This window comes from Homo sapiens, chromosome 3, assembly GCF_000001405.40.
Source record: "Homo sapiens chromosome 3, GRCh38.p14 Primary Assembly".
Taxonomy (NCBI): domain Eukaryota; kingdom Metazoa; phylum Chordata; class Mammalia; order Primates; family Hominidae; genus Homo; species Homo sapiens.
Genome location: NC_000003.12, coordinates 81,572,611 through 81,590,461, shown reverse-complemented (window position 1 = coordinate 81,590,461; position 17,851 = coordinate 81,572,611). Strand labels below are relative to the sequence as shown.

The following is a 17,851-nucleotide window of genomic DNA, read 5'->3' as shown; positions in this document are numbered from 1 at the left end:
GTGATAAATGTGATAAATTAAGAAGTTTGTTAAATGCTTATGCTAATTTAGATTTAGTGCTAAAATCCCTCTGGTTTTCTAAGTTCTCTAACTAGGAATTATTATTAAAATTGAATTTAGCATGTTAAAACTGTTCTATACAAAGTATAGTGGTTGAGATATAAAAATAGTAAGACTACTGTTAAAAATAGTTAGAATTAAGGTGTGTTTTTACATTGTTGGTGTTTAGCTTATTGGCATGAAATGGAATAGTCTCCTTCCTGTAGTATTTATTTTTTGTATAGACTGTTTTTATATCCACCATTTCTCAAAATCAGAAATCTCCAATTTTATAAATGGTATGATTTCACCGCTTGGATAGAGGAGAATAGTTTTATTCCCTTCAGGCATTTTACTTTTTAAGTATTTTCTGGGAATAAAGCAGTAGCCCTAAATTCCTGAAATTCGTTCTTATATACAATTAAAAAACAAACAACCTACCATACAATTTAGACACCCAGTATTTTTTCACAGTCATGACCTACCTACGTTTGATCATAGCACATCTTACTAATACTTGTGCTAATATTTTTTGTGCTGAATATCTTTAACATCAATCAGAGTGTATTTTAAACTTTTGCCTTATGTATATTTGAATTTTATATGTCAAACATCAAAAAATTAATTATTTTGTCAATGATATTTATGGCAATCCAAAGCAGAGATATTACAAATGACAAATTACTACAAACAATTAATGACAGCACAAATCAAAAGTGAGTACTGAAGAAAAAGAAGCAATGATTTAATACATGAAAGTTAAAATTGTTACATTGATCTTTCCATTCATTTCAAGTAAAATAGTTTCATCATCTAGGGAGCTCTGGTCTGATTATCAGTGTTTCTACCAATGAAACTTTGAGACTTTAGCCTACTTTATATTACTTGGTTTTAGATTTTTTTTTTTTTTAAAAAAAGATGTGCCTTCAATTTATTCCACTTAAATTGAAAACTACTTCAATTTCAATACGTCACTTTTCTGTCTAGCGGGAGTCTCTTCCAAATGTAGAATTGATCCCCATGAACTTTTTTTTTTTTAAGAAAAGGAATGTATTTGAACGAATAAGCAATGTAATTTTATTTAAATTCCTTTAGTAGAAATATGAATTTATTTATAATGACAATTACAAAAATTGCAACCTTATTTTGCTCAAGTTTATCTACCATTTTACATTATTATATTTGCTATATTAATTAAAACATTTTTGATTGATGTATCTTTCCCTCTGGAATGGTTATAAGTGCTCTTTAGATAGTAAAAAATTAGAACTATTTTAATTTCATCCCAAACACAGAATCATTTTCATATGCCATATGAATAGGCATCAATTGTTTTATATTTAGAGTATGTTTATTTTGATGACCTTTATGATTTACCTTTTTTTTCTTAAAAATTTTAAAAGAACAGTCACAAACTTTCCACCTTCAAAAGGAGGGCTGAAACAACTCATATGCATTAATGAGGCAACTTTCTAGAAGTCAGATTTAGGAGTCAAGACTATATGATTGTTACCAAATCACCAGGGGTTTAGTCTAGGTCCTGCTGCTTGCTGCACAGAAAGCCAATCACGGAGACAATGATTATTGCCGTAGAAGAAGGCTTTGATCAGTCTCAAATCCATCTCTCTTACCAACTAAAATTAGAGGTTTATATAGTAAGAAATAAATGTAACAATGTGTAAGAAAACAGAACTAGAGAGGGGTAAGGAAGCAATCATGAGGAATGACCGGTCTGGCATCTCATTGCATGCCATGATTTGGTGAGCTTCAGTTCTTTGATACTTTTTTTTGAGAAGACTTGAGGGACAAATGTAGGTTTCAAGCTTTTCAAAAGGATTCAATTCTATGTTTATCCAAAAAAATATGTCTATGGGATGTTTGGGTTTCATGATTACCATATGTTTTTCTTAGCAGATTCTATTTCCTAAAACAACATTGGGACTGGATACAGAACATGCCTTAATATTTTCTTGAGAAAATTCATCTTGATCTTTAATACCAGTCCATCACCAGTCATTCTTGACAGTTTGGTCTTTCAAAACTCTTTTCAGAAGGCATTGTGTCTGTAATTCTAGTTCCTAATATGGTGCCTGATATTTAATGCATATTTATCCAATCCTGTCTGTGGAAATATGACTTATATTTTGATAAATAGAATGATTGAAATGGCTTCTTTTCTACTGATCTTTTTTCTACTTTATAAACCATGAAGAACTATGCAGAAATAAGATTACTGGCAAACATTTTATTTTCTTATGGATGTATTCTACCATATAATATATTTACTTATACCTTCCTTCCATAAGAAAAAAAAAAAAAGAAGCATTTGACCTGAGTCTTAGAGAGCCTATGGTATGTGATAGTCTTTTATAGGAAGTAAGGGTCATAATCTAAGGAAGACTTTGGGCATTGACAGATGCAGAAAAGCTCGTAACAAGTACATGCAAGAGGGAATATTTCAAAGTGGCCGAAGTACTTAGTAATTAAAATGAAATAGTAGGAAATAATGGTGGAAAGATGTCTTTCCATTTCACTTTCTGTGCACTTTAGTTAATGATCACAACTACATCACATGGTCATTTCATAATTATGTTTGTGTGTATTTAGGTCCTAGTTTATTAATCTTTGAAAGTCAGATATTATGTCTTATCTTTTAATCCCTCAGAGCACCTCACTCATTCACTCAACAGATACTGAATAACCTGCTTGTGCCAAGTATTATTAAACTAGTCTAGATTCTTAGGGTATATCGGTGAACAACAACTATAAACTCTTGCCCTCATGGATCTTACACTATAACAGGGAGTAGGGGAGTAGCTAATTGGATAGTAAATCATATAGTAAATGCTTAATGTGTAATTGTTGAATCGAATCTTAAGCTAAGGAATTTGAATTTTCTATTGTTGGCTATTGAAATCCATTGAAGGGCAGTAATAGGAGCGGACTGTCTCATAAGATATGAATTTGGCAGCAGTTAGTATAAAGAGAAGGTAGAGATGGGGAATGCCATTTGGATATGGTCTAGGCAAGCAGTAATGAAGATTAAATAAGATTGTGGTTGTGGTAATGGAGCAAAGGAAAGTAACTTATTTGAAAGATATTGTGGAATTAGAATTGATAATACTTAGCACATATTTTCCTAAAGTTGTCTTAATATCTTTTGTTACATCTGGGTCCCTGTACCTATCTTTGAAACCCATTTTTAAATTACTTTTATTTATTTGATTAATTATTGGATACTTATTGTCTAGAGTAGAAAGGACCCCCTGTCAAAAAGCTTGATATCTGAATCCGGCTCTACCATTAAGAATCCTCTCTCTCGACTGGGTGTGGTGGCTTGTGCCTGTTGTCGCAGCACTTTGGGAGGCCGAGATGGGAGTTCGGACTCCCGTCTCGAACGGTCAGGAGTTCGAGAACAGCCTGGCCAACATGATGAAACCCCATCTCTATCAAAAATATAAAAAATATTAGCTGAGAATGGTGGTGGACATCTGTAATCCCAGCTATTCGGGAGGCTGAGGCAGGAGAATTGCTTGAACCTGGGAGGCAGAGGTTGCAGTGAGCTGATATCATGCCACTGTAAACCAGCCTGGGCAACAAGGGTGAAACTCTGTGTCAAAAAAAAAAAAAAATTCTCTATCTTGAGAGATCCCTTCACCTCAATAAACCTCTGTTTCTATATCTGCTAAATGAAGATAATCCCTACCTAATCTCAAAAACCCCTTCTAAGTGTAACCTACTCTAGTAAAAGCTATTGTACTGTTTCACTGTTAATGTACTAACTCTACATTCCATTTCATCAAAAGCTAGTGTTCACAAAAATACACTCCCTATCAGGGCTACATACAGAAAGAACAACTATAACAGATTTATGCCACATGTATTGTTGTGCTTGGTGAAAGCAACAAAACTAATAAAAAATGTTTTACAGTAGTTCAAAAATAAGAAACTATGTTTTAGCAATAACAGTTTTGCTATTTTGTGTTCTCTAGGAGATACTGAAGAAAAGAAATAAATAGCTTCATGAGATCAAAGTTTGCCTGGAGTGAAAACATTAAGCAAAAATCTTTCTGGGAAATGAGATATGCTATCACAATTTTATCGACTTTTATGTTACCAAAGCAGCCCAAAAATATATTCCCCTATTATTGTTTTCATTTATTGACCTGGGCTTTACAGTCAGAATATTTACTAAAAGTTTGATCATTATGAACCGACGTTCTTTGTTGTAGGATGTATCAGGAATGCCAGCTCTGTGCTCTCCAATTTCCCAGGGAGGGGGTGGTTTTGACTATCGACTAGCCATGGCAATTCCAGATAAGTGGATTCAGGTAAGAGTCCATGTAAATATTTTTTGTTTCTGTGAATACTGTGTTGCTTCATTTATCTTTAATTTATTTCTTAGTTGTAATCATTAGTTACAGATATTATAATTGAAGTATTAAATTCTTTCATTAGTCTGTCGATTCTTATGCTTTTTAATAAGGTGCTTCTCAAAATATTAAAAGTTCTGATTTAAAGTATTCATACGTATTCAGGCAAAGGGAAAATATGATTAATATCATGTTAGCTGTATAAATGGAATTTTGCATTATCAATGCAATTATATGAAACTTCAGTGCTCTATATTTAATACATATTAGACTTCATTACAGCATTCATTTATGCCTACAGATCATGCATTAATGTAAAAGTTACTCCTTAATTCCCAGTACTTGCTTAATAGTATGGTTTTTCCTCAACAAATTTGGATTGGATTCATCCATTCCTTTATTCAACATTAAAAAGTCCTTACCATTTGTCAGACACTAGGAATGAATAACTGTACATGGTACTTTGCACATCATTTATCAATAAAATTTTATTAACTTTAATGACAGTTCAAGTAGTTTGGTGTTTTTTGTTTTTTTTTCATTTAATGTTTGCCTAAAGGACTAAAGTCATTATGTAGACTTAGGTTTGATATAGAACATTTCTTTGCAGCCATGTCGACATTCATGGGCTGAATATATATAAGGAGTCAGATATATATACAAATAATCATAGCTTTCTGATGAGCCCTTTATTTCAGACATGAACTGGTGCCATGAGACCACAGTTGTAGAAGGGCTTAATTTTGGGTAGAAAAACTGTAGCGCCTACTCTTAAGGAAGTGGTTACTATAATCATTTCTTAGCTGTCTTTCCTGTCCCCCTGGGCAATTTGTGCAATGCATAGCTGTGACATTAAACTTGGACCAACATAACTTCTGCTTCTACATTTATAATAATTCCTTAAACATTATCAGGTCAAAAAGCAAGTATTTTATAAAGATTTTTACTTAGAAAACATAAAAACAAAGGAATATTCTCCTTTAATACATGGGAACGTAGCCTTGTATTTGTTACTTTAAAAAAAATGCTGTAGTTTTCAATTTTCTCACCTTGGTATAAGGTTCCTCATCAGCCCCATCTCTTACTATTTCTAGTTTTTTCATGTAGACTTTTTTCCCTCACAAGTGACAAATCTTACTTTTTAACCTCCTGCTAAAAGCCTTAATCATTCTTTGTTCACATTCAATAATGTTTTAAGGTGTACGTCAACCTAGAATTATTTTTCAGTCAGTAATAGCACAAAGTGAGGTATTTTCTCTCTGAGTATTCATGGCAGCTTAAAAAATTGAAATTTAACCTAATAAACATTTTATTACATTGTATGATGAAGGTAATGCATTAGGCAATGTATCATACTTACTTATTATACATGATAACTATAATAATCATAGTTATCAAATAGAAAAATATTTTATCCTAAATTTAGGATATGACCATCCTGTTTTAGATTGTAAATTCTCTGAAAGCAGTTATCATCTTCTATTTTATGTAATTATTTAAAATTCTTATTGTATCACCAAACTGGGTCCCCCCTTAGTTAATAAAACTAAAGTTAAAATAGTATTACAATAAAACCCTTAGACATAGTGATTTTCCTCTACTTTTGTAACTGGTGCATTTAAAAACAATTCAATAAGTGGCTCCCATTCTCCCTATATGTCAATAAAACACACAAGAGTTATTAAATCAGATGACAACTGTACTCAGAATGTATATGGCCTGTGATGTTGTCTACCCATACAGTATGAGTTAAATTAGAATGCTAGATTTTATTCATGTTTTTGTTGTTCAAAAGCAAATTATGTATCATTTCCTAGTTGTATTATTTCAATATCATTAGTTTTGAATATCATTCTTAGTTTAATCAATTACTGAACAAATATTTGACTATCTAAATTATGCCAAATTTGCTGTATTTCCTTTCATTTTATTTGATCATTTTTGAAGTGTTTATGTTAAGGTAATGTATGTGTCTAATGAACTCATTCATTGATCTGTTAATTCCACCAAATATTTATTGAGCACCTAGTATTTTTAATAAATATAGTTTTTCTAATTAAACATTTTTGAGATATTAGGATAATTGTAGATTCACATGCAGCTGTAAGAAATAATACAGTGAGATCTGGTATGCTCATTCATCAGTTTTCCCCAGTGGTAGCTTCTTGCAAAGGTATAGAACAATCTTTTAACCAAGATACTCACATTGATATACTCAAGGTGCAAAACACGTTCATTGCCACAAGATTCCCTCATGTTGCCTTTAGAGTAACGCCTACTTATTTTCATCTTGCTTGCTTCTAATAATGCCTTAACCGCTGGCAACCACGAATGAGATCTCCATTCCTATAATTTCGTCATTTCAAAAATATTATATAAATGGAATCATGCAGTTTGTGACCTTTCTGGATTGGCATTTTCAGTTAGCAAAATTTTCTCGAGATTTATCCAAGAAAACCTCCAATGTTGTTATATCCAGCATTCTTGTTGCATATATCAACAGCGCATTCAACAGCACTGAATAGGATTCCAAGGCAGGGGTATACCACAGTTTAACCATTCACCCATTGAAAAACATCCAGGTTGCTTCCAGCTTATGGCTATTATGAATAAAGTTACTGTATACATGTGTGTACTCATTTTTTATCAACATAAGTTTTCATAACTATGAGATAAATGCTCAAACACTACAATTACTGAACCATACAGTAATTCCCTGTTTAATTTTTTAAGAAACTGCTAAACTGTTTTCCAAAGTAGCTGTAACATTTTACATTCTGACTAGTGATGTTTGAGAGACCTGCCTCTATACATCCTCACCAGCATTTGGTGTTGTCACTATGTTTTATTTTAGCTATTATAATCAGTGTGTAGTGACATCTCATTGTGGTTTTATTATTTTTCAAATGGTTTATGATGCTGGATACCAAACATGTGCTTATTTGCCTCCTGCATATCCTCTTTGGTGAGGTATCTGTTCATATCTTTTAACCATTTCTTGATTGCATTGTTTATTTACTGTGGAGTTTTGAGGGTTCTTTATATATTTTAGATTCAACTTCTTTGCCGGATACATGGTTGACAATTTTTTTCTCCTAGTCTGATGCTTGTTCTTTCATCCTCTTCACATTGGCTTTTCACAGAGCAATTTTTTAAAAATTTTGATGAAGCTAGTTTATCATTTTTTCCCTTGTATAGGTCTCTCTTTTGGTATCAAGTTTAAGAAATTTTTGACTCTCTTATGGTTTTTACTAAATGTTTTATAGTTTTTATTTTTTATATTTAAGCCCATGATCCATTTTGAGTTAAGTTCTGTGCAATATATAAGACTTAGCTCAAGGTTCTTTATCGTTCTCTTTTTACCCATGGGTATCCAATTCTTTAAGCATCATTTGTTGAAACATCCGCCCACCTTCCATTGAATTTCTGTTGCCCTTTTATCAAAAATTAGTCTGGCCCATTTGTGTAGGTCTATACATTAGTTTCCTATTATTCCCATATCCAATTTACCACAAGCTTAGTGGCTTAAACAGCACAAATTCACAACAGTTCTATGTGTTACAAAAATGAAATGGGTTTTACTGGGACTAAAATCAAAGTGTAAACAGGGCTGCATTTCTTCTGGAGGCTGTAAGGGAGAAGCCATTTCCTTGCCTTTTCTCACTTCTAAAAGCTGCCTATATTCCTTGGCTCATTGCTCCTTCCTCTATCCTCAAAGCAGCAGTATAGCATCTTCAAATCTTTCTCTTATTTTGACACTCATGCCTGCTTTTTAGAAAGATGCTCGTGGATTAGGTTGTGAACATCTATGGATGGTTGCTCTTCTGCCTTCCACGTTCTGCCCTCTGGTGCCCAAAGATTCGCACTGCAATGATCAGAACTGCTTATGTTCTCATAATTGTATGACAGTGTGTTGAATTAAAGAGGGAGAGTAAATTTAGGACATAATCCTGAGGAACACCAGCCTTTATAGGACAAACAGAGGAAGAGAATTTATAGTATGTCGGGAGTGGCGGGAAGAAACAAAACAATATAAAGCAAGAGTTTCACAGTGGTAGATTAATAAAGGGAAAAGTTCAGGGGCAGGAGATAGGATCAGCAGTGTCAATATGTATAGCAAGTATCTACTTAAGGGAGAGCAATTACTAACTTAAGCTCACACCACAAGCTTAACCTCAGCAAGTTCAGTTGCATAAAAGTATAGTGTTAGAGGGACAGAGCCAGACTGAACACCGACTAGAAATTGAAATGCAGACACAAAATGTGTGGTCTGTTAAGAGGGTAATTATTTGATGATAATTAACTTTAAATTTTGAAACAGTTGTTTTATCACTTTGTAAAAATGAAGCGAAACACTCTTTTTACTAATTTTTTTCATATAAACAAATAAATATAACAAGTGTATCTCTACCATGTACAAGTTATAGGAAGACATGCCGTGCAATAACATTACTGTGGGCATTAATCAAGAGGTGGCAGTTATTACAGAAAAATAGTTGCAAAGATCCTAAAATATAATGATTAAACTGTCTGCACAAAAGCAAACACCACACACACACACACAAACACACTCTACACCACTGTCATTTGGACATTCTGTATAAAAGCTGTGATTTCAGTAAAAGTTTAAACAGTGATAACTTTGCTATATGGGTGGACTAATATGTGCTTATCAAATAGTTTGCACTGATATAATGCATAACTTCAGATTGTGATTTAAAAATAAGAAAAATAATGCTTTACTCAGAAGCTTATTTTTCTCTCTTGTGTCTAGCTACTTAAAGAGTTTAAAGATGAAGACTGGAACATGGGCGATATAGTATACACGCTCACAAACAGGCGCTACCTTGAAAAGTGCATTGCTTATGCAGAGAGCCATGATCAGGTAAATGAATATGTGCATAAATTCATTTATTTCTCTCTCTCTCTCTTCCTCCTTCCCTCTCCTTAATAACATATTTAAATATAAACATATCGAAATATAAACCTCTGTAGTTACTATAATGTGTGTATGTGTGTGTGTGTATTAATATATATCTTTACAGGAAAACTACGTATATTGGAAAAAATGTTAAATTTGTAGATGGAGAAACTCCAGTTTCAAAATGCAGTAGTATGTTTGTCCTGCCAAACTATAATTAATAGATTATACATTGCAGTTGCAAGTATTATATGTTTTCCCTTGTCATAATGAAGAAAATTGGTGCTGGACCAGGTTTATTTTAGTTTCCGTCTTAGGCTGCCTTCTAGAGGTATTCTTTTATGCTTTTGACAAGCATTCTTCAGTTTTTCCCCTCAGTCACTGAAATCTCCTGCTAATTGACCTCCCTGACCCCTGTTCCATCCAGCCTTAGTCTGTCTTCTCGAATACAGCCTAAGTTATTTTCTAAAGAGGAAAGCTCGTCTTGTCAACCCAGATATACTGGTCGAAGCCTGTAATTCAAAGCCACTCCTATTTTGGCTCAAGCCGGTTTCCAGCATTATTCTCTGCCCAACTCTCCAAGCCTCCTGTTCTTCAATACTTTGAAATCCCTACCCATTCCAAATAGGTCAGCTTTTTCCAATCTTGTGCTTTTCCCCACGCATCTGCATCTGGGAAGTTCCTACTCAGACCTAATTGTCTGGCTCTGACACATTCTATATAAAGCCTTCCTTGGGTCATGTAGGGAAAAATTAGTTGTCCCATCCTCCAAGTTTCCATTATGTTTTAGGAACAGAATTTTTTTTTCATTGTCTTTCTATTTCCAGCCTTTAGCACTGTGACTGATCCTAGTAATCACTTAATAAATATTTTTAAAATGGAGAAAAAAGGTCACTTATTTAAGGTCATATTAATCCTCATACACATCAACATAAAATTTACTTTTTGTAGATTAAAATGTAGACAATAAAATGTTTGAAGTTACTTAAAGTATCTTTATTAAAAAATTGAAACTAAATAAGTTTCTCTATCATTTTTGCAGAAATTGGCCATTTAACGCAAACATGATTTTTTCAGGTGTCTCCTCTAATTGTTAAGAAAATGTAAGTAAAGCAGGGGTTGGGTAATCAAGGCCCATGGGCCAAATCCTACCTGCTGCCTGTTTTTGTAAATAAGGTTACTTGGAACACAGCCATGCTGATTTGTTTACGTATTCTCCTTTGTGCCAAAATGATGCATTTGAGTAGCTGAGACAGAGAAAGTGGCCCACCCTTAGAGAAACTTGATGACCTCTGAAGTAAACTCATGTTAAATTTTGCATCTTCCAAATTGGGGCTGTGCTTTCTTATCAACTTCAATTTACATTATCCTTGTCTGTAGAGCAGATAAGATAAATACTTATCTAAAAAAGAAGAACCCAATCTAGAAAAGAATAATATTTGTTTAATAGGTGAGTGGTGGGGGTGGGGAGGGGGAAACTCTTACCAAATACATAACAATTTGGAAATTAAAATATATGCATAAATTATAGCTTTCTATTGCAAACTCCTTGAAGTTGCAGCACATAGTGAATTCCCAGCATATGTTTATTTTATATGAATGAAAGAGTAAACAAATAAGTGGCATGAACAAATGGAAGATGAAAAAGATAGATTTCTTACGTAAATTTCTACCTAATCTGTAAAGAAAAAGATTTACCAAGAATTATTTCATACTTTAAAAATTCAGGCAATCCTATCTTATATATTCAGGAATTCTCAGGATAGCAGAAATAATGCAAGTTGCCTAGTTCTTTCTAAAAGCAAATGTACTTTGATTCTTAAGCCTGATAAAAAATATAAATGTATATGAATACATAAAAATGAATAAATAAACATATAATTTATAGTAAAAATGTGGATGTTATTTTAAACTTTTTAGATAAATCCTTAACAATTAAATTTGTAAACTTAACTTAATTTCACCAGTATCTCAACAGGATTTTATAAGAGGGCAACTTGGTATGAGAATAAGCTTTATCTATGAACCTGATCCAAAGTTATTAAAATAATTTTATAATAGAATCAGAGATTGTAGAAATAAATAATTATAGCTAAAAACATAATTAAAGAATTCAAAACAAGTAGAGAAGGTGAGTTGTTTAAGAAGTAATGATATAAATCCTATAACAATTTTTAAAGAAAGATCATTTTAATTAAAGTAGGTTAAAGATAGAAAAGATTGTAAACAAATTTCTTTTCTAGAAAATGAAAAGAATTGTAATAGGGTACTGAGATTATGGATTAATTTCTATTTTACATTTTACTCTATGTTATTGTTTTGTCCATGATGAACACTGCATTAGCTGTTTTGAACTGTAAATAATTCAGATTTTTAGGAGGTCTCTCTGCTGTTACTCAGGGCATTTCTGAGTTACCTGCCTCAGTTAATAATTATTATATTTTCAGGTAAAACAAACTAAATTTAGATTAAATGGCAAATACAATGAGAAAGCAAATTTACACTTAAATAAATGTTCTCAACTTATTTTCTCTGCTGAGGGCAGGAAGGAACTATTGTGATATATTTATACACATATTATATTACTCATATATATGAGCAAAATAATATATATATATTATATATCAATGATTTTTCAGAAACTTCTTTCAAAGCAAATAAAATCATTATATACAATCTATTTTAAAAATCTATTTAATATTCTCAACATTATAATAAATGTTTCAGAAAATGTGAGGTGTCAGCTCACATATAACAGATATTCAGGTACCTTATCATGAATCTTTCACCAACCTATTTTAAAAATAAAAATCAGTCCAGTCCTGAAAACAAATGTGTTGAAGTCTAACATATTTTACCAGCTTGCCTTGAGCCTAGAAAATCACCAGTGGAAAATACCTGAAATTAATATTAATCTACACACCTCTTCTACGATGTTTCCTAACATTTGTAACCATGCATTGTTCTATTGTAAATCACAACTACTTAGCACTTTTTTTTTTCATTTATCTCCATTACTTTTATTTCTGTAGGCATTGGTTGGGGATAAGTCGCTGGCATTTTGGTTGATGGATGCCGAAATGTATACAAACATGAGTGTCCTGACTCCTTTTACTCCAGTTATTGATCGTGGAATACAGCTTCATAAAATGATTCGACTCATTACGCATGGGCTTGGTGGAGAAGGCTATCTCAATTTCATGGGTAAGTGTGAGTTAAACACATATGCAATTTGTGTTTAAAATGTTAACTTATAATGACATAAATCATGTAGAATATTTTGATTTGGCTTTTCAGATTTAGAATATAAAATTACAACTATTTATTTCATATACTGTCGTGTAAATTGCAAGAATAAAATTAAATCACTGTAAGGTTATTATATTAATATATGATACAAAAGTATAGTCTAAAAGCTGATATTTAATTGAATATTGCTGTCAAGCGGGCTTACCTGTTTTTAACATCCGGAATTATGGTTCTGAATTTAATCATTCTGAGTTAATTTTATTGTTATAGTATTTGCACATTAAATCTAAGAAAGATATAATTATCATATTATAACATAGCAAGCTAGTATTATTGGTCTTCTTTGAGATAATTTTATACCAGTATACTTGTGTTATAAATGTGTGAACTTAGGTTCAGAGATATTGTGTTGGACAAAAAGAAATTTATTTTTTAAAATAGAAAAATATGAATACTGAAAGGTCATTTTTGTCTGAAAGCTCTTGAAATAAAATATAAAAATTGACTTCTAGTTGGTGAACAGCAGACATTGAAACATTCGAGTTTTAGGAAATTTTTACAGCTTTTAGACTAGAGAAAGACACAAAGACTGGGGAATATATACAAAAGGCTGTTTTATTTTTCTACAATAAAAGACTCAGGGTGGGTGGTGCCTCACACCTTTAATCTGATTCCTTTGGGAGGCTGAGGGAGGAGGATGGCTTGAGGCGAAGAGTTAGAGACCAACCTGGACAATATGGAAAAGCCCCATCTCTACCAAAAGAAGAAAAAAAAAATGCTGGGTGTGGTGGTGCGTGCCTGTACCCTAGCTAATCAGGAGGCTGAGGCAGAGGGACTGTTTGAGCCCAGGAGTCTGAGGTTGTAGTAAACTATAATCATGCACTCCAGCTAGGGTGACAAAGCAAGACCCTATCTCTAATTTTTAAAAAGCCCTGGATCTTTGAATTATTCACTTCTACTTGGAAATTTTTGTAAGAAATCTCAGATTGAACTTTTAAAAGCCTTTATTTTTTACTAACTGGAGGTTAGGAAGCCAACCCCGAGAAAGCATACACAGATTTCACGTATACTACCTGTACCTTTGGGTGTATCCTCTATTCTCAGGGTCACTGAAATTTGTTGACATCCCTAGCCTTCCAGGAAGTGACCTTCCTGAGTTGTGAGACTGTATCGCATCAGCCAGGTATCAGGTCAAGTTCCCTGGATGGACTTTGCAATGATTGGTTCCATAAATAAAGTCAGCCTTAGTTCCTTAAAAGCAATGGTTCTACCTGACTCAGGATGCATCATTCTCCAATATGGGCACTCCGTAAGGCCTTAGTTATACAGCCAATTTATGTAACTATATCCTGATGAATAAGTAAACTGTATGAACCTATGCAAATAACCATGTCACCATGTAAAGTAAGGAAACTGAGGACCTAGTGAGATATTTTAAATGCTTTATTTCATGTACAAAAGTATAAAATTACTATCATCTACAGAAGGAAATCCTTATGTATCTGTAGATACATAATTACATAAAATAGAAGATGATAACTGCTTTCAGAGAATTTACAATCTAAAACAGGATGGTCATATCCTAAATTTAGGATAAAATATTTTTCTATTTGATAACTATGATTATTATAGTTATCATGTATAATAAGTAAGTATGATACATTGCCTAATGCATTACCTTCATCATACAATGTAATAAAATGTTTATTAGGTTAAATTTCAATTTTTTAAGCTGCCATGAATACTCAGAGAGAAAATACCTCACTTTGTGCTATTACTGACTGAAAAATAATTCTAGGTTGACGTACACCTTAAAACATTATTGAATGTGAACAAAGAATGATTAAGGCTTTTAGCAGGAGGTTAAAAAGTAAGATTTGTCACTTGTGAGGAAAAAAAGTCTACATGAAAAAACTAGAAATAGTAAGAGATGGGGCTGATGAGGAACCTTATACCAAGGTGAGAAAATTGAAAACTACAGCATTTTTTTTAAAGTAACAAATACAAGGCTACCTTCCCATGTATTAAAGAATATTCCTTTGTTTGTATGTTTTCTGAGTAAAACTACAGATAGTAATACTGTTTTAGCATTAGTTCATTAGCTGCAATAACCAGTTTTAGTTATAAGCAAGGTGATATTTTCTAATGGCATATAGAAATTAATATTTAAAAAGAGCAATTTAAGAAATTTTTTCAAAACTAAGAAACAACTTGATTGTTTACTTATCTTTTAGGCATTTCTAAACTTGTTAATTTTCTGGAATTTTATTTTTTATTTTCCTCCAGGAGAGAAACAGTGAGTCAAAAGAAATAAAACAACTATACATTTGTATAGCACATATTTTTATAAAAACATGTTTACGTAAATTTATTTGTCAGGCATTCAGATATATGTTCTGTTTATCAAAAGTCATTAAGATTAATGTAGATTTTCTCAGAATACCAGTTTGGCTGATTTGTTTTGTTTTGTTTTTGTCTTATGTATTCTAATTTTGAATTTCAAAAAAATTCTTTCACTCTGGTTATAGCTGTGAAATATTTACTATGCTTTTTTGATTTGCTAGGTTATTGTGAATGGTTTTATGAATAAATAGATTTGTATTTTTTTATTCTATCATATATGAAATAATTGAATATAGAAGGGAGATCAGCAATAACTAAATTATTTTTGTCAGTAACATCGACATAGCATTCTCTACTTTTTTTTTTTTTTTTGAGATGGAGTCTCGCCCTGTCGCCCAGGCTGGAGTGCCGTGATGCAATCTCTGCTCACTGCAAGCTCTGCTTCCCGGGTTCACGCCATTCTCCTGCCTCAGCCTCCCAAGTAACTGGGACTACAGGTGCCCGCCACCACGCCCAGCTAATTTTTTGTATTTTTTAGTAGAGACAGTGTTTCACCGTGTTAGACAGGATGATCTCGATCTCCTGACCTCGTGATTCGCCTGCCTCGGCCTCCCAAAGTGCTGGGATTACAGGCGTGAGCCACTGCCCCCGGCCTCATTCTATACTTTCTAAAACACTTCATATCTATTATCTAAATGAACATTCCATTTCCTTTTTATTTTTTATACCAGATATTTGTTCAAAAGAAACCTGGGGCCAAAAGTTATAAGAATAATAAGGCATGCTACGTAGACATTCTAAGTCCATTTTGCTAAAACTTCGACTCAGAGACATATAGGGACATGCCTCAGTTTGCACAACCAGAAAATTTCGGCAGCTGGTCAGTTGCCTTTTTCTTCTGATTTCCAATTTGAGAAAAATTGTAATGAAAATTACTCTGAGATCAGTATCTAGATTAGTTAGCCACAAATACATGGTTTATGAATACTTTTTAGAGAAAAGGTACAGCATAGTGGTTAAGAATACTGTTGGGTTGGAATCTGTGCCTTTCCCTTTTTGGCTGTGTGATCTGGGTAAGATGCATCAACTATGCCTTCATCGGCTCAGTGATAAAGTGGGTGCCTGCTTCGTCAGATTGTTTTGAGGGTGAAATGACTTAATACTGTTATACTTATATAAAACACAAAGTATTTGCAGGCATATAGCTTATAGTTAACTATTATTTAAATTGACGGTTACTATATTTTAATATTATCAGTTACTCCATTAACTATATGGTACCTGAATGCTGATGTCCTAATTCCATTTAATTGTGTTTTTTAGAATGTTGTCTGATAGTACATTGTTTAAAATAAAAGATTATTTCATTTCTACTTTAAAATATCAGTAAATGTAGTGATTTGTTAAAAATCAATGTTCTTTTCCTAATTTATGTTATGTGATAAATTAAGCCATTTCTGCATTAAGTCTCACCAATTTACCTTCTGAGTTTTTTAGTCATAATGATGTCTACTGAACGATGCTGCTGAAACAGCCTTAGCTTTCATGTGTGAGGAAGTCTGAGGGTTGCCTCAATTTGTTTTTATTTTTGGGATAAGCCAATATCATATTGCTCAGTTAACATTTATTATGAATTGACTGTTTCCTTTGTGTGTATATAATTATGTGTGTATATATGCATCAGATAGAGCATCAGATGAAATTTACTGTTTTTATGGTACCTGTGCACAGAATTTCTACACACACACACACACACACACAGAGAGAGAGAGAGAGAGAGAGAAGGCAAATTGACTTAGAGCAAATTCAGTCTGAAAAGTTAGTGTATTTGAGGTGTATATTAATTTAAACTATAAATTTAATATATTCATAATGCATTCTAAAATGTTGTAAGATTTCTTTATGCTTAAGACATTTATATGTATCTATGATATACCAGGTATTACTAAGTGGTATGTATTCAGAGATGAAAAATAGTTCTTGCCCTCAAGGCCTTAAAACCCAAAAGGGAATACAGGCAAGTGATAGACAAATACCTTTATAGTAATGCATGCACTAGGTTCAGTGATACAGATAAGCAGAAAATGCTGTGTAAATATTTAGGAAACTTGTTTTGGAGATTGTTGGTAAAAATATGATATGCTTTAGCCAAACCAGCTTGGAATAGGAAGCCACAGGAAAGTTATGTATGAGATCAGTAATAGTCTAAGTAAGAGTAGGCTTGAAGCAATTGACTGATAATTTGAGATTACAGCCAGTTAAGATTATTAAACTTTGAATAAATGAAAAAAACTGGGGCCTAAAGAAAACAATTTACATGCCATTCTGATTGGCAAGTTTAATGAAAAGATGAGTTTCAATCACTTTAAATTACTTTAAAATATTGTTAACTCTTCAGTTAGAACTAGTATTAATGGTTATGTGACATTATGGTTTATTTTTTTTTAAATAATCATTGGCTAAGTATGCTTCGTGTTCAAAAATAAATATAAAATAAAAAACATCAACTTTATGCATAGGATGACCTCAGTGAATGTATTTTACTCAGCTTTCTGGTGCTTATTTGGTTATCACGGAAATGCTATCCTTTCCTAATTCAGTCAGCTGAGGCAGAGGGAGTAGAGTCATATGGCCTTATCATGTGACCCAGGAATGTTGCTATGAACATGCTGGTTTAGGCAGGCAAATTGACTACTATGTCCAGTGATCACATTAGGGAAAAAAACACCAACCCTGATACTGCAATTTTAATTCCATATAATATGAAAATAAGGGCATTAAAGGATTTTCTTATTAAACGCTACATAGAATTATAAAAAACAAGAGAAGAAACCAAATATTTAATTCATTTTAAATATATAAACATGTACAGATGTTTTAAAATATCAAGTAAAGCATAAATTAAAATATAAGAATTAAGAACATA

General features: G+C 32.5%; 1 protein-coding gene across 2 annotated transcripts in view; it reads left to right on the top strand.

The window, feature by feature from the left end:
* The window catches only part of GBE1 (1,4-alpha-glucan branching enzyme 1), a 271,943-nt gene that overhangs the window by 171,184 nt on the left and 82,908 nt on the right, over nucleotides 1-17,851 (top strand). For both annotated transcript variants that reach the window (XR_007095662.1, NM_000158.4), the window contains exons 10-12: nucleotides 4,272-4,370; nucleotides 9,187-9,297; nucleotides 12,366-12,537. Coding sequence is in view for 1 of the 2 variants with exons in the window: in NM_000158.4 (NP_000149.4) it covers nucleotides 4,272-4,370; nucleotides 9,187-9,297; nucleotides 12,366-12,537 (382 nt within the window). In the remaining variant the exon portion in view is untranslated. The remainder of the gene's footprint in view (nucleotides 1-4,271; nucleotides 4,371-9,186; nucleotides 9,298-12,365; nucleotides 12,538-17,851) is intronic.